General features: G+C 43.4%; 1 protein-coding gene across 10 annotated transcripts in view; it reads right to left on the minus strand.

Annotated features, from left to right (window-relative positions):
- Window positions 1-18447: 18447 nt before the first annotated feature.
- The window catches only part of ZNF248 (zinc finger protein 248), a 99566-nt gene continuing 91561 nt past the window's right edge, over window positions 18448-26452 (minus strand). For 9 of the 10 annotated variants that reach the window (XR_001747152.2, XR_001747150.2, XR_001747148.2 and 6 more), the window contains one exon: window positions 18448-19975. The gene's annotated coding sequence lies outside the window, so the exon portion shown is untranslated. The remainder of the gene's footprint in view (window positions 19976-26452) is intronic. The other variant, NR_147994.1, reaches the window with a different exon arrangement.

Genomic DNA, 26452 nt, shown 5'->3' on the forward strand with positions numbered 1-26452 from the left:
AGGATCCTTGTAGCTTGCCAAGGCATAAAGCCCACTTTCCAGGAAGCCAGATGCACTGGGTAGTGCCTGGCCCCAGCTGTCCATTGGCCCTGTGCATTACAGGGGGTCTGACCGAGGGAGGGCTCTTTTATTTAGCACTTAGCACTGCCTGTGAACTTGCCAGCTTCTCTGCCTGTTTACCCTCACTGGATTGAATGTTCCTTAAAGTTTAACATAAAAGAATTTATGTTAAATAAGACAGAGGTCTTGTTCACTTCTTCTACTGCCTTGCGTGGAATAGCATGTTTATTAAAAAATGAAAGAGAGATTTCAAGAACTTCATTAACTAAAAGTCACACAACCTACATATTTAAAAAGGAAATTTTCCTCAAAGGTTTATGGGCTGCAAGGTGGCCATCCCTATAGGCTGGGAAGCGTAGCCCACCCCAGAGCCTTCTAGGCAGAACTGTGAGGGAGGGGAGTGTGGCACAGGGATCCATGCTGAATGGATTCAAGCACACATATTCAACGCATTACAGGAGGAGCTATGAATACTCAGGAATGGGGTCCTGGACATGCATGATGGACAAACATGCATGTTACATATAAACCAAGTTCACTTTGGGATGGAAACCTAACACTTAAATGTGTTACAGTTGGGCTATATACATCAAAAGGTCTCAGGACACCAAAGCACTCAAGGGCACAGCCTCTGGTAAAGTGGCTGGAGCCAGTCCATGGTTGGGGGTCTTTTTATCAGGAGAAAGTCACTCAGTCTCTTGTCTAAATCAAAGCTGTAGTCGTGGCTAGTGGAATGGGGTTCAGTTAGGCCGCGTCTGCTATTTGGTGAGCTGTTGCTGCTGCAACACTGTTTATCTCGAGGCCAGGGCTTGTTTAGCTGCCAGAGAAATAGAAAAATCTTGTGAGAGTTAGAACACAGTTTACTCCATGCACAGTGTAGGGTGCATGTCTTAACCCTTGCCTGGTGCAGCCTTAGGCCCTGTGTATAATTTTGGTATCTTATTGCCACAGAGTCTCCTCCATCAGTCTTGTCTTTGTTCTGACATTACTCCTGGTCAGTTGTGTCTAAACCCCAAAAGGGTGAGGTATAATGAGGCGTGTCCCACCTTCCATGCCAACATGGCTGGGAAGTCAGTTTTAAGGTTTCCCTGGGGTACCCTTGGCCAAGAGGGGTTCTGCCCGGTCAGTTGGGGAGCTTAGAATTTTATTTTTTCAGTTTACACCTCTTGGTGGAGAAATCTGCAGAGGGAGCACCTGTTAGGCGCTGGGGCCAGGGGTCCTGGGTTGGGCCTGTGGGAAGTTCACAGTGATGCCGAGTGAGGACGCACCATTCTGGGATGGAATCCTGGCATGGTGAGCCATGCCACATGGAACGTGTTTGCATCAAGAAGCGTCATTTAGGGGTTTTCTTTCTGCTATGAGCCACAGTCCCTTCACTTCATCAGCGGGACTTTCCTTCCGAGAGCCTGGGGAAAACAACTGTGACCTCGGAGCAAGGTTGGGGAGAGGGGACAGCAGCTGCAGACTCAGGGTCAAAAGGCAGGTGGCCCCCGTCATGATTTGCGTGGCAGGCAAATACCTGGAGCCCCCACGGCCACGTAGACAACACTGGAATCACTCGGGGTGAAGATCAGGTCTGCAGGACACAGCTCAGTCTGAGTTCTCTACTCGATTTCCCCATCACAACTTGGAAGACAGAGTTGTGCCGGGACCCCGGGGACTGGGGGAGGCAAAGCCAGTGGGGGCGGGGAGGGCAGGGACCATGAGGGAGATACAGCATCCCAGAAACATTCAAATAAACAACCAGAAAATCAGAGCAACACTGGGTGAGAAGAGGATCCAAGGGCAGGCGGGCTGTTGTGGATGCCAGCCTGATCTGTGGCACAGTTTGCAAGAAGAGGCTCGCACCAGTGAGTGGCCCTAGAGGATGTGCCGACCTCCCACGCTTAACTAACAGACATGGGGCAGGTGTGGTTTTGAACCACAGGAAGACAGTTTACATTTCATTTATTTGTTCATTCTTCCAATAATTGTTTTCATGATAACCTTTTGTTCCTGGGAACTTTCTCTGCTTCTGTCAAGAATGATATGTTTTAGGATTTTTATGCTTCAGAATATTTATTTATTTTTGAGACAGGGTCTCACTCTGTTGCCAAGGCTGGCATGCAGTGGCACAATCTCGGTTCACTGCAGCCTCTACCTCCTGTGCTCAGTGCCTCAGCTTCCCGAGTAGCTGGGATTACAGGGGTGCACCACCACATCAGGCTAATTTTTGTATTTTTAGAGACTGGGTTCCAACATGTTGGCCAGGCTGATCTCAAACTAGACTCAAGTGATCCTCCCACCTCGGCCTCTCAAAGTGCTGGGATTATAGGCATGAGCCACTGTGTCCGTCCTAGAATACTTTTTTTTTAATATATATTTTTTTGAGATGGAGTCTCACTCTGTCGCCCAGGCTGGAGTGCAGTGGTGCAATCTCGGCTCACTGCAACCTCCACCCCCAGGGTTCCAGTGATTCTCCTGCCTCAGCCTCCAGAGTAGCTGGGATTACAGGCACCAGTCACCACACCCAGCTAATTTTTGTATTTTTAGTAGAGACGGGGTTTTACCATGTTGGCCAGGCTGATCTCAAACTCCTGACCTCAGGTGATCCACCTGTCTGGGCCTCCCAAAGTGCTGAGATTACAGGCTTGAGACACCACGCCCGGCCATATAAATTTTTAAAATATATTAATTTAATTTAAAAATATTTTTATTTTAGATTCAGGAGATCCATGTGCAGGTTTGTTTCAAGGGTGTATTTTGTGATGCTGGGGTTTGGGTTTCTATTGATCCCATCCCCATACACTGAGCACAGTACCTGATAGGAAGTCTTTCAAGCCTTACCCCTCCATCCCTCCTTTCTTTTGGAGTTCCCAGTGTCTACTGTTGCCCTATTTATGCCCTATGTATTCAATGCTTAGCTCCCATATATAAATGAGAACATGTGATATTTGGTTTTCCGTTTCTGTGTTAATTCATTCCGTAAACATTTATTGAGGACATGGAATGGGGGGGGGGTGGCATGCCATGTGCTGAGCTCTGAAAATGCAGACATAAATAAGTTGGTTTCTGCCCTGCAGTAGCTTTCATTCCAGCAGGAGGGTGAGAGAGTCGCTGTGTAAAAAGTGATAATCACTAAGAAACTGTTAACTGTTGCAGTATTAGTATGTGTGTCAAGTGCTGTGAAAGCCCAGAGAAGGTTGTGATTAATGCAGAGAAAAGAGCTCAAAGCTGAATCTCCTACAGAAAGCGCATGTGCTTATGAACTTCCTGGTTGTAGCAATGGCTGATATTCACACAGACATGGCAATACCTACATGCTGTTTCATAGAAAGCCACATCTACACTGTCCTGCATAAGAAGTCAGGAGTGGCCTTTTATTAGACAGCAGCAGAGCAAGCTTCTCAAGTACCTTGAATATATCCCTCATGTAATTCATATTTAACGTAGTATACAAGCTCTCAACCCATATGTGAATAAAGTGTCGGATATATAAGCACAGATGAACCTACACATTGCTTTTGAAAAATATTTGCCATGAAGTCTACAATGCAATATTGCTCTGCTCTTCAAAAGATTCCAAGTGAATAGCCCATGTGTGACAACCTTGATCCTTGCAAATAATTACGTGACATCCAAATGGATCCAGAAGGACGCAAGAGTCCTGGTGTGGCATAATGCAAAGCATGACTGAAGACACACAGTGGCCAACCTCTCAGTGTCCCAAAGACTCTGTGTCTGTTTTTCAGGGTTTTTTTTTTTTTCCCTTGAATTCCTGTCACCGAGGTAGATGCCTTTTCTCAGGATGCAAAGTAAAAAGATACAAGAGCTGAATATCTGCTAGATTCCTTCCTTTTGAAAAATTGTTCATTGTTCTGTGTCCCAAGTTAGGTCCGATAATGACAATGCTTCTTTTTCATAATAATAATAGAGTATCTGGAAACCTCTGACCACAGTAAAAACCCTGAAAAGATACAACCACAGGATTGATAACAGGAGTCAGGTGTGATTAGCAGAGCAGTCATTAAAGAAGATAAAGAGGAAAGAATGCTGTCCTCACAGGGCAGGCCAGTCTGACTTACAGAACCTCCAGGAAGGCAAGGATTATCCGTCTTATTTTCTCTCTGCTAATAAAAGTTTTCTTTGTTGTTGTTCTTCTGGACAATAAGAAGAATATTTAGAATCCAAATGCAGCAAATTATAAAATAATATCCTCTGGAGATGCTGAGATAATATATTTACCGAGTTTTATTAAAAACAAATATATCATTAAGTGAGACTGTAGTCTTAAAAACACACAAAGGCCTAATCTCTATCAGGATGCAGGCATGTAAACTGTTCTAGAATAGTATTTATAATCACACTTTCTTAGGTTGGGAGAACTGTTTTCAAAACTCCTGCTAGTTAATGACCTAACTTTCCCCCACAAAGTTTTTGGCTCTCAGCCTGAGACTATCTTAAGGATATAAGCAGAGGCCTGAAAACCCTATGGCCATGGAGATTTGGCTGCAGAAAGCCAAAGCCAAAGGAGGCATAGACCTGTTCCCTGGGACACAAACATGTTCCAAAGTCAAATCAATGTTGTGAGCAATATAACATGTATGACGGCAACCATAGTCAATATTTCAATAGTTGTGCATTGCTCACAGATGTAATTCTTAACAGAAGGTGGTTCTAACACCCTCAAGACAATGTTGGGAGTGAAGATAGACACATAAGTAGCAACCAGCTTATTGAAATCTGTTAGTCCAAACAAACGCCTTAGAAAAAAATTTCCAAAAGTGTTTGTAGGGGGTTAAATTTTATTTCCCAAATTTTTGTAGTGCAGAAATCTTTAGAATCATTCAAGCTTCAGTGGATTTTAAACTTCCTAACATTAGCTGCAAATTTTTATTGCATGTGTATATATCCGTATTGATTTTTTCTGAGAAGAGGGTCAAATAGGTTTAATCACATTATTATATTGTCAGAAACCAGTGCTCTAAGGACCCACCAGGGTGTGTAGCTAACAATAGACAAGGGATTCTGGTGAGAATTTCATACAGTGAGACAAAAACAAACTTCCTAAGTAGATTGCTGCTCACCCCAGATGAACCACAGCAAGGACAATGGGGACAGCAGCAGCAGCAGCAAGTGATGTTTCACCTGCTGGTTGTTGGAGTCCTGGGAAGGTGTTAGTGGTGTTTGCTAGAAGCAATCTGCTGCCCTGGAAACCTTGCTGCTTGTTGGAGTGGCAGTGAAGAGTGGCCCATACACACAGGGCACTGCCACAGAATCAAAGGTTCCATGGGAGAGGGTGAGCATGTTCTCCAGGTGGACCCCTTCTATAGAAATTCTAGCACAGGGAAATCCAGTCATTCTTCCCTAGGACAGATGTTGACCGACTCTTTACTGCCTTCAACTCTGGGGTCATGTTCTGTTAAAAGTATTATGAAGACAACAAAGAAAATATTAGAACTTCTTTAAGAGAAAAAGGAATGTACAACCCAAGGATGAATGAAGAGAGTGAGGCTCACTGCAGAAGAAAAAAGATTATGGAAGAAGAAGTATTTCATAAATCCCCAATTGATCATAAATCTACATCTGTGTGACTACCATATGTGTCACTGATGAATTAGAAGCTGGTTCTTAGAATCCTGTCTTGCACATGGGATTATGCAATTTACATACCATTTTGGTTCTAACACTTTGGCCACATCTTACTGTAGAATTGGATATAACGCCCAGTTAAAGTAGTTTGTTTTCTGCTGTGATGCTAAGGGGGCCTCAGGATGTCATGGCAACCAAAGGGTAGTCTAGTCCAGAACAGATGCCCCTGAGCTATGATGGGGTTATGTCCTGATAAACCCATTGCAGATTGAAAATATGGTACATTGAAGGCTGGGCTTGCTCGCTCATGCCTGTAATCCCAGCACCTTAGGAGGCCGAGGCAGGCTGATCACCTGAGGTCAGGAGTTCAAGACCAGCCTGGCCAACATGGTGAAACCCTATCTCAACCAAAATACAAAAATTAGCTGGGCATGAAGGCCTGTAATCCCAGCTACTCGGGAGGCTGATGAGGGAGAATCACTTGAAGCCAGAAGGTGGGGGTTGCATACAGTCAGATTGCGCCATTGCACTCCAACCTGGGCAACAGAGCGAGACTCTGTTTCAAAAAAAATGAAAGACAAAGAAAAAGAAAATATGGTAAGTTGAAAATGCACTTAATACACCTAATCTATAGAACTTCATGGGTTAGCCTAACTTGCCTTAGACGTGCTCAAAACACTTAAATTAGCATACAGTTGGGCACAGTCATGTAACACAGAGCCTATTTTATAATAAGGTGTTAAACATCTCAAGTCATTTATTGATGTAGTTGCTAGTTGAACCAGCATAAATCAAGAACTGTCTGTATTGATTACATTTTCTTTCTCCTAACTTTTCAAAATCCTAAACACTGTCATGAGAATCTGTTGTGGAGTAATCTTGCATTATTTTACACAAACACACTTTAAGAATATCTGTACTTTTATCTTATACCTGTAATAATGAACTTTACCATTTTTCTATGGCATAGAAAGGTATTTACCCACCTCGCTTTTAAATCTAAAATTCCCTCCTTCACCAAATTTACACTCTGAACAATTCAGAGACTTCTTTCGAGTGCTCTTCCATCATTTATCTTTCCAATGGATGGGTCCTAACCATGTCCCTATCCCTGGAAAGTCCATACCTCCCCTTGGTCAGTTCACCTGGGCCTTGGCCCCGCTGATGTGCTCTGCCTGCCATGAGACAGATCCTGCAGGGGCACCTGGGATTCCCTGACAGTTCACTGGGTCTTGTGCCAGAGTGGGAGCCTGTTTTGTGTTGTTACCACTTGCTGCCTCTTAAGGTCTGACGCCCATCACTTTGTTGACTTGTTTTGCCATTCAACTTCAGTTTGCCATAAAACACTACTCTAAGTCAGCCTGTTAGAGAAAACACTGTCAAGGTCTGCAGTCAAGGATAGGCATAGCTTCTGAAGCCTGTTTTTCTCCCTATTATCATTTTGCCCAAGCCTTGCTCTTTCCGAGTCCCTTACCTTTGTGAGCAGCATCAGTGTCATGAGGTCTGTAACAAACGTGTTGCCGTGGTTAATAAACTGACCTCAGGTCCCCTCCGAGTGCGTTTTTGCATGCCCAGCATTTTCACTGTAAAGTAGATCCTTGCTGAATCAATTTCCATCTGTCATTGTTCTTATTGCCCCACTTAACAGGATTGAATTACCAGGTTGAGATTGGGTTTCTGTATTCCAGCAAAACTGCTCACATAATCCTATGTGGCCAGGGAGGTCAGTAACACATATGGTAAAACTGTGTGATGCCACTGCAATGTGCCCATCTGGTTGCTGAATATAAGACCAAATCTGAAAGCTTTCTGAAGGTCCTGAAGTTACTCTTTCTTTTCTTTGCTTTCCTATTTCTTTTGAGACAGGGCCTCACTCTGTCAACCAGACTGAAGTGTAATGGCACAATCATCCTCACTGCAGCCTTCAATTCCCAACATCAAGTGATCCTCCTGCTTCAGCCTCCTGAGTAGCTGGGACCACAGACACACACCACCACGTCCAGCTAATTTTTTAATTTTTTTTTTTTTTTTTTTGTAGAGATGAGGTCTTGCTATGTGGTTGAGGCAGGTCTCAAACTCCTGGCCTCAAGGGATCCTCCCATCTCAGCCTCCCAAAATGCTGGGATTACAGGTGTGAGCCACCATGCCTGGCCTGAACTTATTCTTTTAGAAATAACATTGCTGCTCTACACTGCCCTGTTATGGGTCTTCTTTTCCCCTTGTGAGAGGGGCCTGACTAGTGAGTCCAAGCCTTAGCACTTTGGCCCTGTTCCCGTGGGTACGCTGCTTCCTCTCTCAGGGCATCAGCCTCTGACAGGTGCCCTGGGTCCCATCGAGGTCTCATGACTCAGTATCATCTGAGGGCATGACTTTCCTAGTCGTGCCTCACCCTCAGCACCCCCACATCCTCTGTGTATGGTGAGCATGTGGACAATGCCCTTTTGCGTGGTTCTGCTGGGGCAGAGCAACAGCTGGCAGGCTTGATCCTGAGGACTCTGGGGCCAGCACAGAGGTGGGGACAGTCACGTCTCATCTTTCTGAAGCTACGGCCCCAATTCTGATGAGCTGGCCAGAGCCAGAGCGGCAGCCTTGGACACCATACAGAGGAAGCTGACACCAGCCTGTTCTCTCCGTTTCCCTCTTGTATTTAGGCTCTGCCCCTTGTGTATTTAGGGTGTTCCCACAGAGAGAGTGAATCATTCCTTTCAAAAGGAGCTACCACTTAGTAAATATAATGCAGCATAAAGAGTCTCTCTGTGACATTCAAGGTGTTTTTTTTGTGTGGGAGGGTCCTCAATTTATCAAGATTGGGGGCAGGAACAGTGCTGAAGAACAAGGAATTCAGTGTGGATGGCTGTGTCCCCTTGCCCCTGGTTACAGACTGAACTGTGTCCCCCTGATTCATAAGTTAAAGCCCTAACACCAATGGGACTGTATTTGGAGACAGGATCTTTAAAGAGGTCATTAAGGGTAAATAGGTCCTAAGAGTGGGGCCCTAATTCTCACAGGACTGGAGTATTTAGAAGAGGAAGAGATTGCTCTGTCTCCTCTCTTCATCACTGTCTCTCTCCATCTTTGTATCTCTCTGTCTCTCTCTGTTTCTCTCCCTATCTCTATCTTCATCTCCATCTAGCTGTCTTTGTCTATTTTGGTCCCTGTCTCTCTCTTTCTCTGTCTCCATCTCTGTTTCTGTCTCTCTGTCTCTGCCTCCATCTTTGTCTCTGTCTCTCTCCATCTCTATCTCTGTTTCCATCTCTCTCTCTCTCTCTCTCTCTCTCTCTCTGCCATGTGAGCACACATTGAGGTTGTCATCTGCAAGCCAGGAAGAAACCATCACCAGAGGACACTTTGATTTGGCCTTCCAGCCTCTAGTGCTGTGAGAAAATAAACCTCTGTTGTTCAAGCCACCCAGCCTGTGGCATTTCATCGTGGCAGCCTCCTGTTCCTACAGCTCAAAATCAAGCAAATCATTGTAGCATGTGGGGCAACCTTGGCGAGCTTATTAATTACTTAGTCTGTCTCCCAGGCAGCCATCTTTATGGTCATCCTTCAGACCCCACTGCCCTTGGCCCCAAAGCCATGCCCACAGATACTTCTCAATTTCCGTGTCTTATTTTTATTCAAGTTCTGCTCTGTGTAGATGACAGCAGCCATCCTGAGACATCCATCTATGGAAGTGCATGACTTTGTTCAGGTGCAATATTGACAGTAATACTGTTCCCTACCAGGTGCACCACAGGCTGGGCCCATACCAAGCCCTTTGTGTGAATATCAGGTATTTTCACAGGGGATTTCTTTGTACCACCTAGAGAAAAGCCTCATTCAACAGACCTTCCACATTTGTATGCAAAGTCCTACCTTTCCTGGACTTTTGCTGTTCTTCAAAGCACACATACACCAGGATCATATGCTTGGGTGCGTAGGACTTCTCATTTTATCTTCTCATAAATGAGACTGAGAAGGCACCAGAAACTTGGGGACCAGCCAGCAGCATGCTGTGTTCTCAGTGAAGCTATTGAAAAACCTTAGTTACAGTTCTAGAAATAAATGTATTCATGAAAAATTAAGAAAATATAGTCTCGCCCTTCTGGATTACCATCATTATAAACAGACACACCAATTGTCTTATGATATAAAAGTCAGAATTAGAAGTATAGAAAGTAAAAAATCCAATTGCTGCATTCTAGAAACTCTTATGCATATTTTTAAAAGATAATCAAACACAATCACCAGGAAAAACCTTTGATCTAAGATATGCCACTTTTTTTTGGTCTCCGAAGTATACTATTTTCCTCTGATTACGTTAAAGAAGATTGCCTTTAAAAACATTAGATGGAGATAATTTTGAGTCCTATTAACTTGTATTTCAAGCTTGCCTCAAGCACTAATGAGAAAAAAAATTCCTGCTTTTCTCACAAAGAGGAATACACAACTCCAGCCTCAAAAATACACTCAGTGTTTGCATTTTATTAAAGCACACTTTGGACATCTGTGCCACTGACCTACAGGTATACTGATCTAGAGATGTATTAGCATGGTGTATGAGATCAAGTTTGAGAATATTGCTTTACCAATCAAATGAAAGCATCTCTAACATTTAAATGCTTACCTGTGGCATGATGCCACCAATGACTACTGCCTCTTCACTCCAAGTATTTGCAGAATTGCTTACACAAGCCCCCCAGATTGCCTGCTGTTGTATATTTCAAGATATTCTTATTTATGGTCTTGTTACGCAGGTGTAAGTAACTGTGGGCTCAAACCAGTGACATTGTTTGGGACAGGAGGTGACAGAGCTAAGAGTCGGACATGGGACACACCTGTGCTCAGATGAACTTATTATTATTCATGGGAATTTAAGCAATTATTTTCCAATTTTAAATCTGTTTCCCCATTTGAAAAAAATTATTCCACATAAGTATTGTGAGCATTAAACAAAAGAATGTATGTTAAACATTTAGCTCAGAGCAAGGCACATAGCAAATGCTTAATAAATAATAGCCATTATTATCATTTGAGATTTTTCTGAAGTTATGTGGAAAATATCTTACCAACTTAGAAACACAATTTAAATGCCCTGAGAAGGAAGATTGACTCCAGGGAATGATCTCTTGTCCGTCAGGATAAAGCATTCTTAGGTGTCCAGCATACCTAGTCAGTTATGCAGTATACCTGGTCAGGTATCTACCATACCAAGTTAGGTGTCTACTGCACCTGGTCAGGTGTCCAGCATACCTAGTCATGTGTGCGGTATACCTGGTTAGGTGTCTAGCATACAGAGTTAGGTGCCTACCACACCTGGTCAGATGTCCAGCATACCTGGTCCTGTTTCCTTTAGGAGACATTTCCATTTTTGAAGGAAATTTTCAGGCTGATACACATAGTTTCCTTTTAGGAGTGGTATACAATCTATTAATTCAATAGCAGTTATTTTCCTTTCATCTGTTTTCTTGTTCTTCAATTCATTTTACATTTCTAATAGTTGCATTTACACATTTTTGCTCATTTAAAAACAGAAATGCACCCTTAGCACATTTATTAATAGGCATATTGTCCACAGAAAATTTATTCTCACTAAATACTGCTTTCCAATTTGTTGCTGGTATAGAGTCTCTTGAGGATTTTGCTTGACACCTGAGTTTTCAGTTTTTTCACCAAGATATCTAATGATAATTATATCAATATCTTGAATTCTATTAACTTACAGGTGCAGTAAACTTATTGGAACTATCCTTAATAATTTATTGAGCACCTACTATATGCCAGGCACTGCATCAAATCTAGTTACACTAAAATAAAAACTTAAAACTAAAAAATCTCAAATTCCTGTCTGAAAGAAATATTCAATTAATGTTGACTAAAATAAAATACTTGAATTATCTGGGTTTTCACTTATTGCATTACCCTGGGAAGGGCAACTACTTTAGGGTTATTCTTCCCTTGCTACTTCTCTTCAATGGTATTTCCTTCTCCATCTGTTTTTTAAACATGAACCAAGAGGCTGTTTGAAGCCAGAACCTTGATCACATGCACAGGGAAACCAACTGGTAAGTAGTTCCTGGATGAGTTCTCAGAAGTACCCGGAGTCCCGGGCCACGCTCATTGCTGGGGATCCAAGATAAGGGTTGACTTCTGTTGCAGGGAGACCCAGCTACAGCAGATGTGCTGTCATTTAGAAGGGAACCAGCAGGGTCGCCACCCCACCAACTTCACGAAAGCTCATCTGAGCCTTGCAAAGGGGCAGGATCAGGAGGGCAAAGTCAGCCCACGGTCCTGCAGTGAACCATGAAAATGCTGGAGACCATGGGTGTGCAGGCTGGCTCTTCAATTTGACTTCTATTAAAATAAAAACTTTAGAAAAATTAAACAGTTTAACTGAGCAAAGAATGATTTGCAAACCAGGCAGCCCCTAGAACCTGAAAGGGGTTCTAAGAGACTCTGCGGCTGCCCCATGGTTGGATAATATTAGGGACAGAAAAAGGAAAGTGAGGGACAGAAAACAGAAGTGAGGCACAGAAACAGCTGGACTGGTCACAGCTCCACCTCTGCCTTCTTTGAACACAGATTGAGCAGTCAGCCACCTGTGATTGGCCGAAGCTCTGATTGGTACAATCACAATTGTAGGTGCCAGCCTGTTACACATCCTGTTAGGTTACAGTTCACTGTGCATGGAGAAATCTTTTAGTGAGCTTAAACCACATAAGGAGGCAGCTTTAGGCTGAACTTAATGCTTGACAGCAGAGAACAACTTACAGTGGTCCAGGAGGGCCACCAGAGGACACTCCTGAACACTCCATCAGCCAGGGCCTTTCCATCCTCACAGCTAAGAGCCTTCTGCTCAAGCTAAAGACCAAGGAAGCAGCTCCAAGTGAGCCTACTGCCTTGGCGTGACTTCCTGAACATGCAAAGCTGACTGTGCATTGTCTTCCATAGCACATCTGGTCCCCGGGTGTGCAGGCCACTGCAGCATGAAGACTCATCAATCAGAGCAGATGCATGCTGGGGCAGAGCATAGGGGTCCCCAAATGGCCTGGGAGTTAGTCTTTTAATTTCTGAGTTTGGGAGTGGTGGGGGTCCAGGGAGAGAAGTGTGCTTGTCTGGGCAAGTGGGGTTAGTATAGGGACCCTGGGGCAGCTGCTATTTACTAACCAGTAAGAAAGTCTTTTTTTTTTTTTTCTGAGACAGAGTCTCGCTCTATCACCCAGGCTGGAGTGCAGTGGCACGATCTTGGCTCACTGCAACCTCCGCCTTCCAGGTTCAAGCAATTCTCATGCCTCAGTCCCCACCCCTCCTGACCCCAGTAACTGAGACTACAGGTGTGTGCCACCACGCCTGGCTAATTTTTGTATTTTTAGTAGAGAGAGGGTTTCACCATGTTGGCCAGGCTGGTCTTGAACTCCTGACCTCAAGTGATCTGCCCACCTCAGCTTCCCAAAGTCCTGGGATTATAGGCATGAACCACTGCGCCTGGCCATGTCTTTCCACATTCTAGAAAGCAGGCAATGGGCTCCGTTGGAATGACTGATGTTGCCCGGTCTGTCCAACTCCAGGCCCTGGCCTTTCCCAGCCTCCACTTCCCACGTAGCGACTTGAAGCAGCTTGTAGTTTCAGGCACGTCACACCATTCCACTCCTGCTCTTCTCTTGGGGCCTCCCGCCTTCTGTCCAGTTCACCCCCTTCCTCCTCATGTGCCCTTGGGGCCTCTGCTAAGACATACCCTTCTTCATGGGGTCTTTGCTCACTGGTCTGGGCTGGGCCATGCGGATGCTGCCTTCTTCACCCAAGTGCACATGCACACTTCTGTTGCTGTTCCCACGGTGTGACACAGAGGCTGGCCGAGCTCCACCTTCTTCCTAGATGGTCTCTATCCTCTGGGATTCTACATATGTGCAGGGGTCTTATTCTCTAGACCCCAAATGAGGACATTTGTCTGAAATATTGGCATTATTCCAAAACATGGAGGCCAGTCTAGAGTCGGGAGTTACCGTTGTGTAGCAGACCTCTAAATATCCTTTATGCTCGTCACGACTTTGAAGTCATAGTAGTTACCAGACCCACCACTAAATCTTTTTATTTTAATGCTCAGAGAAGCACGTAGACTATTCCCAAATAAGTTTTTAAAAATATTCTATATACTTTGTATATTTTTAAAATATTTGACAACTGGTTTTTAATAATAGTAATAGTTTATTAGATATTTTCCTTATTTATTTTCATATTTATTTTATCTAATTTAGGTGTTTTATTTTCTTAGGTATTTTAATAGTTTAAAAATATTCTGAGAAAGGGTCTTTAGGCTTCACGTGGCTATCAAAGAGACCCAATGCATAAAAAGATTAAGAATGTTTTTAGAGGATTTGAGGAAAGATAAAAGATAACTGTGAAGGCTGTCATCAAAAGTGTAAGGTGAAGACTCTAATTTGAGTAGAACCAGGGCTGTATGCCTGGTACACAGTGGTGCTCAAGCAAAGTTTATTGAATGATGAGTGACTGCATGGATGCTGGTTGGGCTCCTTTTGGGCTCCTAATGCCTGAGCCATTTAGCTGCTCCTATAAAGTGCACTAGTGGGTCACTATCCCTAAGGCCTTTGCTTCCAAGCACAGCCACTGTCTGAAGACAGTGCTGCCTGCATCTCTTGTGTTTTACTCATCTCCTGGATAGAGATATCTCATGTCTCCTGCAAGTCTTTGTTGAGGACTTGTCTGAACAAAGTCTTTTTTCTTTTCCAGGATGTTTGTGCAGCAAACAGCCTTAGAAGGTGGAGATAGTGTGTCCCTAGGAGCAAAGGGCAGTCATGCCTCCTGCCAGTGTAAAAGATCCAGGTTCTCTAAGCTCAGGGTCGCTGCTTCTCTCCTGTAGCACAACCCACTGCACATCCACATCATCTGGTCTTTTCCATCACCATGTGGGGCTTGACAAACTGGCATCACAAAATTCAGATACTCTGACTATGGCAGCTTCTGTGTGTAATAACATTGTTGTCCTCTGACACAGGTGTCTCATGTCTTCTGCCAGCTTTTGTGAAACTGGCAGGCTCAGGAGTTAGCTTGCAGGAGAGTAAAATCTCAGACCCTTTTCAGGTCTTGAAAGCTCACAGGGGAAACCTGGATCTGGGTCCACGTTGGGTGCCCCTTTCTCCAGAGCTGTAGTTGTCATTCTAGAAAGTCCAGAAGGCAGCAGAACAGTGACACTGCTGTGCCCTCTAGTGCCCACTGCAGGTTATGTATCAAGGGGAGAACTTGTAGGAACTCAGCTCTCAAGCTGTCTAAGAAGAAAGCTAACCATGCAGTCTCCTTTTAGCTTTGTTCCATAACAGAGTGTTGCAGGTACTCCATGTTACCTACCATTAGCCATTATTTTCCCCTAAGCTTTGGGTGAAATTTATAGCTGATCTCCTGAGAAGCTGTATTACAGCAGTCACTAGATGTGTGCTTTTTTTCTTCCTTTTTCCCTGGCAGGATCCATCCATGCTAGGTGCCAGGAATAATTCCAAGCCCTGAGATGTACCCACAGACCCAGTTCCTGCACTGTAGGGCTGGGTCTGAGTCTGCACTTAGCCAGAGACTCTGCAAAGGCCAAGATGAAAGAAAGATGATTTCTGTGGAGTTCTCATCCAGTGCTGTGTCTCAGCACTGATAGAAACGAGTCAGTTTTGCATGCCACATGTTTCCGTCCTTATTTAGATGTGGGGCTGCGACCTCCACAGATAGAATTTGGGAGGAGAGGGTCGAGGCAAACCAAATACAAAGGTGGCCCAGAGCAGCACAAGAGCCCAAGAGCTGTCACCATGCAGATCTTTGTGGTATTCATGGCCTCGTGTGTTTTGGGTAAATCTGACTCTGATGGGTGGGAAAGGGTCAGGCTTCCCCTCTATGCAGCTGCACACTCCTCCACTGTTGGCACCCTACCTATTCTATTTTTAGAGACAGGGTCTCACTCTGTCTCCCAGACTGGAGTGCAGTAGCACGATCATAGCTCATTGTAGCCTCCAATTACTGGGCTCAAGCAATCCTCCTGCTTTAGCCTCCTGAGCAGCTGGAACTACAGGTATACACCACTACACCTGGCTTTTTTTTTTAAGAGACAAGGTCTCACTATGTTGTCTAGGTTGGCCCTGAATTTCTGGTCTCAAGCAATCCTCCTATCTCAGCCTCTCAAAAGTTTAGGATTATAGGCATGACCCACTGCACTTGGCCACATCTAGTGAATTTTTTATTTTAGGTAATTTATGTTTTAGATCTATAATTTCCATGTGGTTTTTTCTGTAATTTATATTTCTATGCTGGGACTTCCCATTCATTTTCTCCTTCATTATGAACATATGTCATATATGACATTATGAGTATATGTTCTTGAACACAGTTTTTTGGGTTGTGTTTTTTTTTGAGACAAGAGTCTCACTCTGTCACCCAGGCTGGAGCGCTGTGGTACAATCTCGGCTCACTGCAACCTCCGCCTCCCAGATTCAAGCAATTCTCCTGCCTCAGCCTCCTGAGTAGCTGGGATTACAGGCATGTGCCACCACTGCCCGGCTAATTTTTGTATTTTTAGTAGAGACGGCGTTTCACCATGTTGGTCAGGCTGGTCTCAAACTCCTGACCTCGTGATCCACCCGCCTCAGCCTCCCAAAGTGCTGGGATTACAGGCATGAGCCACCGCACCCAGCCGAGCACAGTTTTAAAAGCCACATTAGGCCGGGCGCAGTGGCTCACACCTATAATCCCAGCGCTTTGGGAGGCCAAAAGGCAGGCAGATCACCTGAAGTCGGGAGTTTGAGACCAGGCTGACCAACACAGAGAAAACCCATCTCTACTAAAAATACAAAATTAGCCCGGTGTTGTGGCGCATGCCTGTAATCCCAGCTACGCGGAAGGCTGAGGCAGGAGAATCGCTTGAACCCAGGAGGCAGAGGTTGCGGTGAGCTGAGATTGTGCCATTGCACTCCAGCCTGGGGAAAAAGAGTGAAACTCCATCCAAAAAAAAAAAAGCCACTTTAAAAAACAACAACAACAAAAAAAAAACACTTTTCTGACCAGGTGTGGTGGCTCACACCTGTAATCCCAGCACTTTGGGAGGCCAAGGCGAGTGGATCACCTGAGGTCAGGCATTCGAGACCAGCCTGGCCAACATGGCGAAACCCTGTCTCTATTAAAAATAAAAAATAAAAAATTAGTCAGGCGTGGTGGCACATACCTGTAATCTCAGCTCGGGAGGCCGAGGCAGGAGAATCATTTGAACCTGGGAGGTGGAAGTTGCAGTGAGGCGAGATCATGCCACTGCACTCCAGCCCGGGCAACAAGAGTGAAACTCTGACTCAGAAAACAAACAAACAAAAAAATAACTTTTCCATGAAAATCTTGGTCATCTCAGAACTTGTCTCCATTGATTGTCTTTTCTTCTGATGTGGTTCATGTGTTTCTGTTTCTTCATATGCAAAGTGATTCTGGACGTTGTGTATGATAGATGGTAGAGACTCTGGGTTCTATATTGTTCCTCTAAATATTACTGATAGTTTCTCTTCCAGTAGTTAGTTTATTGTCTGGATTCAAACTCCAAGCTCTTTCTACTAGGTCGTGGAAAGCAGCTGAAATCTCTTCAGCCTAAGATGGCTTGGTTGGAATTTGCAGTTCAGATGTCAGCTAGATATACTAGCTGATTTTATGTACAGAATTTGGAACTCCACCCTCTGTGAATCTTTTTTCTTGGATTTCCTCCTTCACCTTCTAGTTGCCGTGGTATCCTTGAAACAATTTTGAACTTTCAGGAAAGTAGTAAGTACAGCACAAAAAAACTCAAGAATATACTAAACCAAATTTAACTTTCACCAATTGTTCTAATAAAGCCCTTTATAGGAAAAGAATCCATCCAGGGTTGTGTGGCTTACCCGGTTGTCTGATTTGGAGCAGTTCCTCCAGATCAGACAACCAAAGCAGTTCCTCAATTTGGAGCAGTTCCTCAGTTTCCTGCACTTTGATTACCTTGATGTTTTTGAGAATAACTCAGTCACTTTGTGGAATATACTTCAGTTTTCCTCTGTCTGATGTTTTCTCAGAAGTAGACCCAGAGTATCCTGTGGCTGAATTGCCACTGAAATGATGCCAAGTTGCCACTGTGTCCTCTCAGGAGGCACCATGATGCTGATTTAATCAATTACTGATGGTATTAACTTTGATCACTTGATCAAAACGGTGTTTGCTATGTTTTCCACTCTGTTTTTTCACCCTTGAATTACTAAGAATGTTGTAGAGTGATACTCTGAGACTATATCAAATACGATTCCTCATTCCACTTTCTTCCATTAATTTTGGTATCCACTCGTGTTTCTTGCCTGAAGTAATCATTACTGTGATGACAACCAAATGGTAATTTATTAGTACCATTATTCCTTCTGCATTTATCAGATAGGAAGAGCATTCTCTTCTCTTCATTCATTTGTATTAGTGTAGAGTTATGGATTTCTATTTTACTCAATGTTCTACAGTCCATTACTATCATTATTCTTACACTGTCCCAGATTCTGCCAATAGGGGTCCCTTTAGGTTGCTTTAAACTGTGTACTTTTGACAGTCTCATCATGCTGTGAACACTTCTTTACTTTTTCACACAAAAAAATATTTCAGGCTAATCTTGTAATTTCCTTGTCCCAGTCCTGCAATCAGCTATTTCTTCAAGGACACCAGGTTCTTTTAGTAAAGAATGGCATTTGGGAACCAAAATGTAGAAACCAGCTATGCTTATTACTACTAGTTTATTAGCGCTACCATGCCCCCTCAGTGGACAGAGTTGGGATGTGTGCATACAAGCAGCCACATTTGCACTTTTACATATTTCTTATTTTAATGAAAGTCATATACTCACAATAACACCTATTCCAAGCCAATGCCACAGTACTTATTCTATTTTCTCCCCTATATCTTTAAACTAAATTCTCATTCTGCTCAAAGAAGCAGGAGTTGCCTCTATTGCCTCATGCAAGAAAAATATTTCACAAATAATTAACACAAAGTACAAATATATAATCATATTGTTATTATCTTTTGAGATATTTCTACTAGATTCATTCTTACTTGATATTTCTGTTTCCCTGTTTTTAATGTTTTTGATGTAGCTTAACTGTAAAATCTCAGACAGTTCTGGGTGTAAAAGCTATCCTTCCCACAGGATATGCGTTGTCCTTACTTATCCCAATGCAGAAACACATCTGACATCTTATTCTTTATCTCTCAGTTCAGAGTGAAAGGGTTCTGAATGAGCTACAGAGAGAATGCTCTGCTGTCCTGTGCTAAAGGAGACCACTAGGCAAGGAAGGATCAGATGGACTCCCTTGGACCTCTCTTGGAAGCCACTTGTGCAGGTTTCTCACAGCCAACAAGGTTAACATGCAGCCCTGATCCTCAACTCCAACTCTCAAAGTTGGCTCTCAGAGCAGATTTGAAAAGCAGTAAAACATTCCTTTGGTTGCTAGACCCATGTAAAAAAGTATAATAAATTTAAAAAGAAAAGCAGTAAAGTGGTGTTTGGGGGCAGTCTGAGCCATCTGAGAGTTTTCTGAAGGTCTCATTTGTGCTGTGGTTCTTGGTTTACTGACTCTTCTGAGAGTATGATGGAAGCTACCAACACACTCCCCAGAAACATGCAGTTCACATATGAACAAGTTCATGAAACTATACATTGGGTGCTAGGTCAGGAAGTATGCTAAGTTACATCTGCTTATGAAACCCCTTAATGTGTTCCAGATGGGAGAAGGTGCGGAGGCAGGAGCAGGGGATGTGTTCCAGAGCTGTGAAGAATGAGGAGAGAAATTATCACCCAGACACTCACCCTGGCAAAAGGCCTTAATCCATTCATCTCTGTTAGTCACACAGATAACTATGGTCAGATAGATGGCTTAGTGAAAGCTGTCAGCTAACCAACAAGACAGAGCCTTTTTAGTAAAGATTAGTAGGCAGGTAGGCAGTGGTTAGAATGTTGCTCAGTCAGACAAGCAAATACCGAGTTGAGGTTAGAGCCCAAAGGCTCAATATTGTCTCCACATTCAGAGTGGGAAAATCTGCTCTGAATAGAATCACACATAACCCCAAATTGTGGCATCCTGAAGACATTTTTAAGCAGACAGAAAGAAAACCTGGAGATGCATCGGTGTCCAGATGAGGCTTCCATTTGCTGGAAATGAAGACAGACCTGCTGTGGAAGAACCGCTAGGCAGGGAGGAGGCAAAATCAGGGCTCAGGGAGCTGACCCCAAGCCAGTTGGTAATGTTGAGGTGGTTCTGAGGAGCAGAGCTGTCCAGAAGAGGGAAAAGCAGGTGCAATCTGAGTCCCAATCCCTGGATTCTGGCCTGATCTTGGAAAGCAAGGAAAAGTTTTTACACCTCAGGGTAATGCAAATCCAATCAGAATGCAAAACTTTTGTATGGGGTGAGGGAAACTAACAAATGGAGTAAATAAAACCTTTAACAAAAATATATGGGGGGAATAACTTCAAGAAATAGAAAATGCTGGGTTTTTTGTTTTGTTTTGTTTTTGAAAGAGGGTCTTGCTCTGTTGCCCAGGCTGGAGGGCAGTGGTGCAATGCACAGCTCACTGTAGTCTCAACTTCCCTGAGCTCAGGCAATCCTCCCACCTCAGCCTACTGAGTAGCCAGGTCTACAGGCACAAGCCACCAGGCCCAGATAATTTTCTGTAGAGACAGGCTTTCACTATGCTGCCCAGGCTGGTCTCAAACTCCTGGGTTCAATCTATCCACCCACCTTGGCCTCCCAAAGTGCTGGGATTATAGGCATGAGCCACTGTGCCTGGCCTAAAGTGCTATTCTTTATTAAAAGTATTATAGGCTGGGTGCAGTGGCTCATGCTTGTAATCCCAGCACTTTGGGGGACTGAGGCAGGCGGATCACAAGGTCAGCAGCTCGAGACAAGCCTGGTCAACATGGTGAAACCCCGTTTCTACTAAAAGTACAAAAATTAGCCTGGCATGGTGGTGCATGCCTGTAATCCCAGCTACTCAGGGGGCCGAGGCAGGAGAATTGCTTGAACCCAAGAGGCAGAGGTTGCAGTGAGCTGAGATCATGCCATTGCAGTCCAGCTCTGGATGACAGAGCAAGACTCTGTCTTGGGGGAAAAAAAAGTATTATAAAGACATACTAAAACATTACCTTTTGTATGAGCACAAACAAAGAAATCAGTGAAACAAATGTCAGAAACATAAAATGTCAGGATATTAGTATTTGTTGGCTTAATAATGAAACCACAAGAACGAGATGGCATGATGGTGCAGGCCTTTAGGGCATCTAGAAGAAAGGAGTCATTGCTTCCTGGATTGTGCAACATCCCAACTCCATCTGCCTTTCAAATGTCCATATGGTAACTTTTTCATGTAGACACATTTTCTCAACAGGGTTACTGGCAGTTCCAAGGTCACCAACAGACAGAATGTGATGATCTCCTACTACAAAAACCCACAGACTCTTATTGGCCCATCTTGGATTAAATGCCCTTCCCTGGAATAAATGTTGAGCCAGAAGGATGTGAAATCTCTGGAATATCTGCCATCCCTTAGGTCATGAAGGCAGGTTGGTAACTATAAGAACAGAGGGATGGGGTGCTGAGAAATACCTCTCATAAATGACCATTTAGCATGAAGATAGTATTTCAAATTAGTGGGAAAGGTGTGAACTGATCACATGGTGTAGAGAAAACTGGCTATTCATTTGGGAAAACAAAGTTAAATCCTTACCTCATAGCAACAACATAGGGACAGATCAATGAACAATTAAACTTAGTAAACATATTTTAAATATAAGATATACATGAGATAATGGTAATTTCCAAGTGATTTTCTTGTGCTGATGCAATGAAAAAGTGCAATGAAGCAGAGCTTCGTTGTTTCTTACAATGGAATAGTGAATAACTTTACTTCAAAGAATCAGGCTTGCCACATGAAGATTTCTAGGGCTGAAACACAGCTACCCATGATCAATTTTTCCTAAGAGCATATTCTCCCCAGAGACTGCTGTTAATATTTCTGAATTAATAATTCTTCAAAAAGGTTGCCTGAGTTGGTTAAACCACCTTCAGCTCTAAGAAACAGAAAATCCCAACTAAACCAGTATAATGAGACCAAAAAAACTATTATCTCATATAAAGCTTCAAGGTTGGTTAATTTACCTGCTAGAGACCATCAATCCAACTGCTTCCCAGTTTTGTGTTCTGCTATTGTCAGATCTTACCTCAAGACCAAAAGATAGAATCACACATGCAGACATAAGAACATCTACCAAAATCAAAGGGCTGTCTTATGAAATCTGTTAATCATTATGAAATTGTATTGTCTCAAATCTCATTCAGCATTCTCAGTATTTCACTGGCCAGGAAACATTTTTCAAAATTAGGGTGAACTAATAATTCTAGGTAGACAATGAAACAAAATCAAGGTTCTGCTGGCATGGAATAAGTGGGGGATAACTGTTGAATAGCAAATCAAAAACCTACAAAAGCTCCTACAAATCTGTTGCAAGGAATAATGTTCCTCATAATAGTGCTAACACTTGGAATGTTCTACACATTGGTCAAGTACTTTACTAAATTAACTAATCCTTACTAGAACCCCATGAGGGAGGTAACATTAGTATCATCATTTAGCAGAAGAGGAAACTAAAGAACTTATGTTCAAGAATTTGCCCCAGATCACACACCTAATATGTAACAGACCTGGGATTTGAGCCCAGGAAGTCTAGTTTCAAGGTCAATGTTCTTAACCACTGTATCAGGGGTAAGCAAACTTTGGACCAGAGGCCAAATCTGGCTGAGAATCTGTTTTTCAATGAACCATGAGCTAAGATTGGGGGATGGGGGGTTAAGAAAAGTGACAGAAATAAGTATGTGGCCTGGAAGGTTAAAGTATTTATAGCATTTTATAAAAGTTTTTGGCCAACTCCTGTACTATACCAGGTTGCCAGTACTAGAAAGCAATGGCAAATAACAACACAGGTATGCTACATACAAATAGTTCCTGGGTTACATACAAGTGAAGCTTGGCACACTCGAGGCTTCCCATGTAGACATTTCAAGATATTGAAATATGGGTGGTTTTCTTACTAAGCATTTTATGGGATAGTACAATGAGCATTACCATTCTCAGCTGTTTCCTTAAACTAATTTAGGCTGTGCTAAATGTAAAAATTATGTACTTGATCACTGCATTTTTCATGTAAATAATTATTTTTTTAAAAAAATGTGTGTCTAACAAAAACACTGTTGGGCTTCTTTATTGAAAAGGCAGCTCAATAACAATGGTCATTTCCATTAATATATGCCAGGAAACGGTAGAGGAAAATGCTTATAGTAGGATACTTGCCATGGACCTATTGGACTGAACAAAGGAGGGTGAATGCAGGAATAAAAGACAAGAGACAAAAGAAGAGTATATTTGGAAGAAGGGGTCGGGGGCACCATGCCTTTACTGGACAAGGGCCCTGAGCTTTACACAGCTCTCCATATTTATTAGGCAAAAGAGATAGCAAGAAAGAGGGGATGATTGTCGGGTAATTTTCAGTCAGCCATTTGGTTCACAGCAGGCTTGCAAGACTGCCTCCTTTGAACAATAGGTGCTAATTTTCTCAGTAGATAACTTCAAGGAGCCTGGCTCCAGCGAGTGATCTCCCTAAGCAAACCTTTTGGTGGCAGGGCAGTGTGAGTTTGCCCACATCCTGCATTCATGAGAAACAGTTTGCTGTTTGATCATATAGCCTCCAGCAGAATGCTGAGTTGGTCAGGTCCCACAGGCCTTTGGCTACCTGTAATACTTAAAATGTATCAAATATTATTTCACATAAAAGACTGTATTAATATAAAAAAGAACACAGTGATTTACAAGAATTAAGTCATAATGGTTATTAAAGTAAGGATTTTAATGTTTGAGTTTGATTCTGTTGGGTTCCAATGAAAAAAAGTAGAAGACAGAAAAGATATGTTGTTGCAGGAAGTCAGGGACCCTGAACAGAGGGACCGGCTGAAGCCATGGCAGAAGAACATAAATTGTGAAGATTCCCCAAATTAATACTTTTATAATTTCTTACACCTGTCTTTACTGCAATCTCTGAACATAAATTGTGAAGATTTCATGGACATTTATCACTTCCCCAATCAATATTCTTGTCATTTCCTATGCCTGTCTTTAATCTCTTAATCCTGTCATCTTCATAAGCTGAGGATGTATGTTGCCTCAGGACCCTGTGATGATTGTGTTAACTGCACAAATTGTTTAAACAATATGAAATCTGGGCACCTTGAAAACAGAACAGGATAACAGTGATGTTCAGGGAACAAGGGAGATAACCATTAGGTCTGGCTCCCTGAGAGCCAGGCGGAACAGAGCCATATTTCTCTTCTTTCAAAAGCAAATAGGAGAAATATCACTGAATTCTTTTTCTCAGCAAGGAACAGCCCTGAGAAAGAGAATGCATTCCTAGGGGGAGGTCTCTAAAATGGCTGCTCTGGGAATGTCTGTCTTTCATGGTTGAAGATAAGGGATGAAATAAGCCCCGGTCTCCCGTAGCACTCCCAGGTCTATTAGGACGAGCAAATTCCCGCCTAATAAATTTTGGTCAGACCGGTTGTCTGCTCTCAAACCCTGTCTCCTGATAAGATGTTATCAATGACAATGCGTGCCCGAAACTTCATTAGCAATTTTAATTTCACCCCAGTCCTGTGATTTCGCCCTGCCTCCATTTGCCTTGTAATATTTTATTACCTTGTGAAGCATGTGATCTCTGTGACCCAGACCCTACTAGAACACTCCCTCCCCTTTTGAAAATCACTAATAAAAACTTGCTGGTTTTGTGGCCTGGGGGCATCACAGAAGCTGCCGACATGTGATGTCTCCCCTGGACACCCAGCTTTAAAATTTCTCTCTTTTGTACTCTTTCCCTTTATTTCTCAGATAGGCCGACACCGGGAAAATAGAAAAGGACTCATTTTGAATTACTGGGGACAGGTTCCCCTGATAATATGTAGGAACTAATTCTTTGCCATGTTGACTGTTAAGATCATCAGAAAAAGTTAATATAGGATGTTTACTATATTCTCTATTTTATGTCATATTTTGTGGGAGAAAGAAAAACAGTAAAAATACCCAGTTAATTTTCTAATTCATGCATAAGACATGCAGATACAATATATTATATGCATGAATCTGCACTAGTTTATGTGGATATTAAAACACCTAAGACACTTTTTGAGCCTTTTTTTTTTTCTTTTTTTGAGAGAATCCTGCTCTGTAGCCCAGGCTGGAATGCAGTGATGCAATCTTGGCTCACCGCAACCTCTGCCTCCTGGTTTCAAGAGATTCTCCTGCCTCGGCCTCCTGAGTAGCTAGGACTACAGGCCACCATGCCCAGCTAATTTTTTTTTATTTTTAGTAGAGACAGGGTTTCTCCATGTCAGCCAGGCTGGTCTCGAACTCTTGACCTCAGGTGATCTGCCCACCTCGGCCTCCCAAAGTGCTGGGATTATAGGTGTGAGCCACTGAGCCTGGGCAAGTTTGAGCTCTAATGATATAAATTCCTTGAGCTGTTTAGGGAATGGAATTATGTGGCGATTTGGGGATTATTCCTTTAAACAAATGGTCTCCAAAGTATTTGATGACTCACCCTACAAGGAAAAAAGTTTCAGCATCCACATATTTGTAGCAATAGATAGGTATGTATGAATATAGATGTATTTCCAGGTGGTCCACACTTTGCATGATTCTGATATGCAGGAATTTCAGTTATGACAATTCAGTTAAGTAACACCAGTCTCCCAACAACAAAGGTCAGATTTCATTTAGCATGGTATATTATCTGTAACTGCATAAAATACAAACTTCACTCCTAGCTCTTAAGTCCACAAATCACCACATTAATAATCGATGCACACTGGAAGGGAGCCAAGATGGCCGAATAGGAACAGCTCTGGTCTACAGCTCCCAGCGTGAGCAATTTCTGCATTTCCATCTAAGGTACTGGGTTCATCTCACTAGGGAGTGCCAGACAGTGGGTGCAGGACAGTGGGTGCAGCACACCATGCGTGAGCTGAAGCAGGGCGAGGCATTGCCTCACTCAAGAAGTGCAAGGGATCAGGGAGTTCCCTTTCCTAGTCAAAGAAAGGGGTGACAGATGGCACATGGAAAATTGGGTCACTCCCACCCTAATACTGCACTTTTCCAACGGGCTTAAAAAACGGCACACCAGGAGATTATATCCCACACATGGCTTGGAGGGTCCTACGCCCACGGAGTCTCACTGATTGCTAGCACAGCAGTCTGAGATCAAACTGCAAGGTGGCAGCAACGCTGCGGGAGGGGCGCCTGCAATTGCCCAGGCTTGATTAGGTAAACAAAGCAGCCAGGAAGCTCGAACTGGGTGGAGCCCACCACAGCTCAAGGAGGCCTGCCTGCCTCTGTAGGCTCCACCTGTGGGGGCAGGGCACAGACAAACAAAAAGACAGCAGTAACCTCTGCAGACTTAAATGTCCCTGTCTGACAGCTTTGAAGAGAGTAGTGGTTCTCCCAGCACGCAACTGGAGATCTGAGAACGGGCAGACTGCCTCCTCAAGTGGGTCCTTGACCCCCAAGCAATCTAACTGGGAGGCACCCTCTAGTAGGGGCAGACTGACACCTCACATGGCCGGGTACTCCTCTGAAACAAAACTTCCAGAGGAACGATCAGGCAGCAGCATTTGCGGTTCACCAAGATCCGCTGTTCTACAGCCACCACTGTTCTGCAGCCACCACTGCTGATACCCAGGCAAACAGGGTCTGGAGTGGACCTCTAGCAAACTCC

Source organism: Homo sapiens, chromosome 10, assembly GCF_000001405.40.
Source record: "Homo sapiens chromosome 10, GRCh38.p14 Primary Assembly".
NCBI lineage: Eukaryota > Metazoa > Chordata > Mammalia > Primates > Hominidae > Homo > Homo sapiens.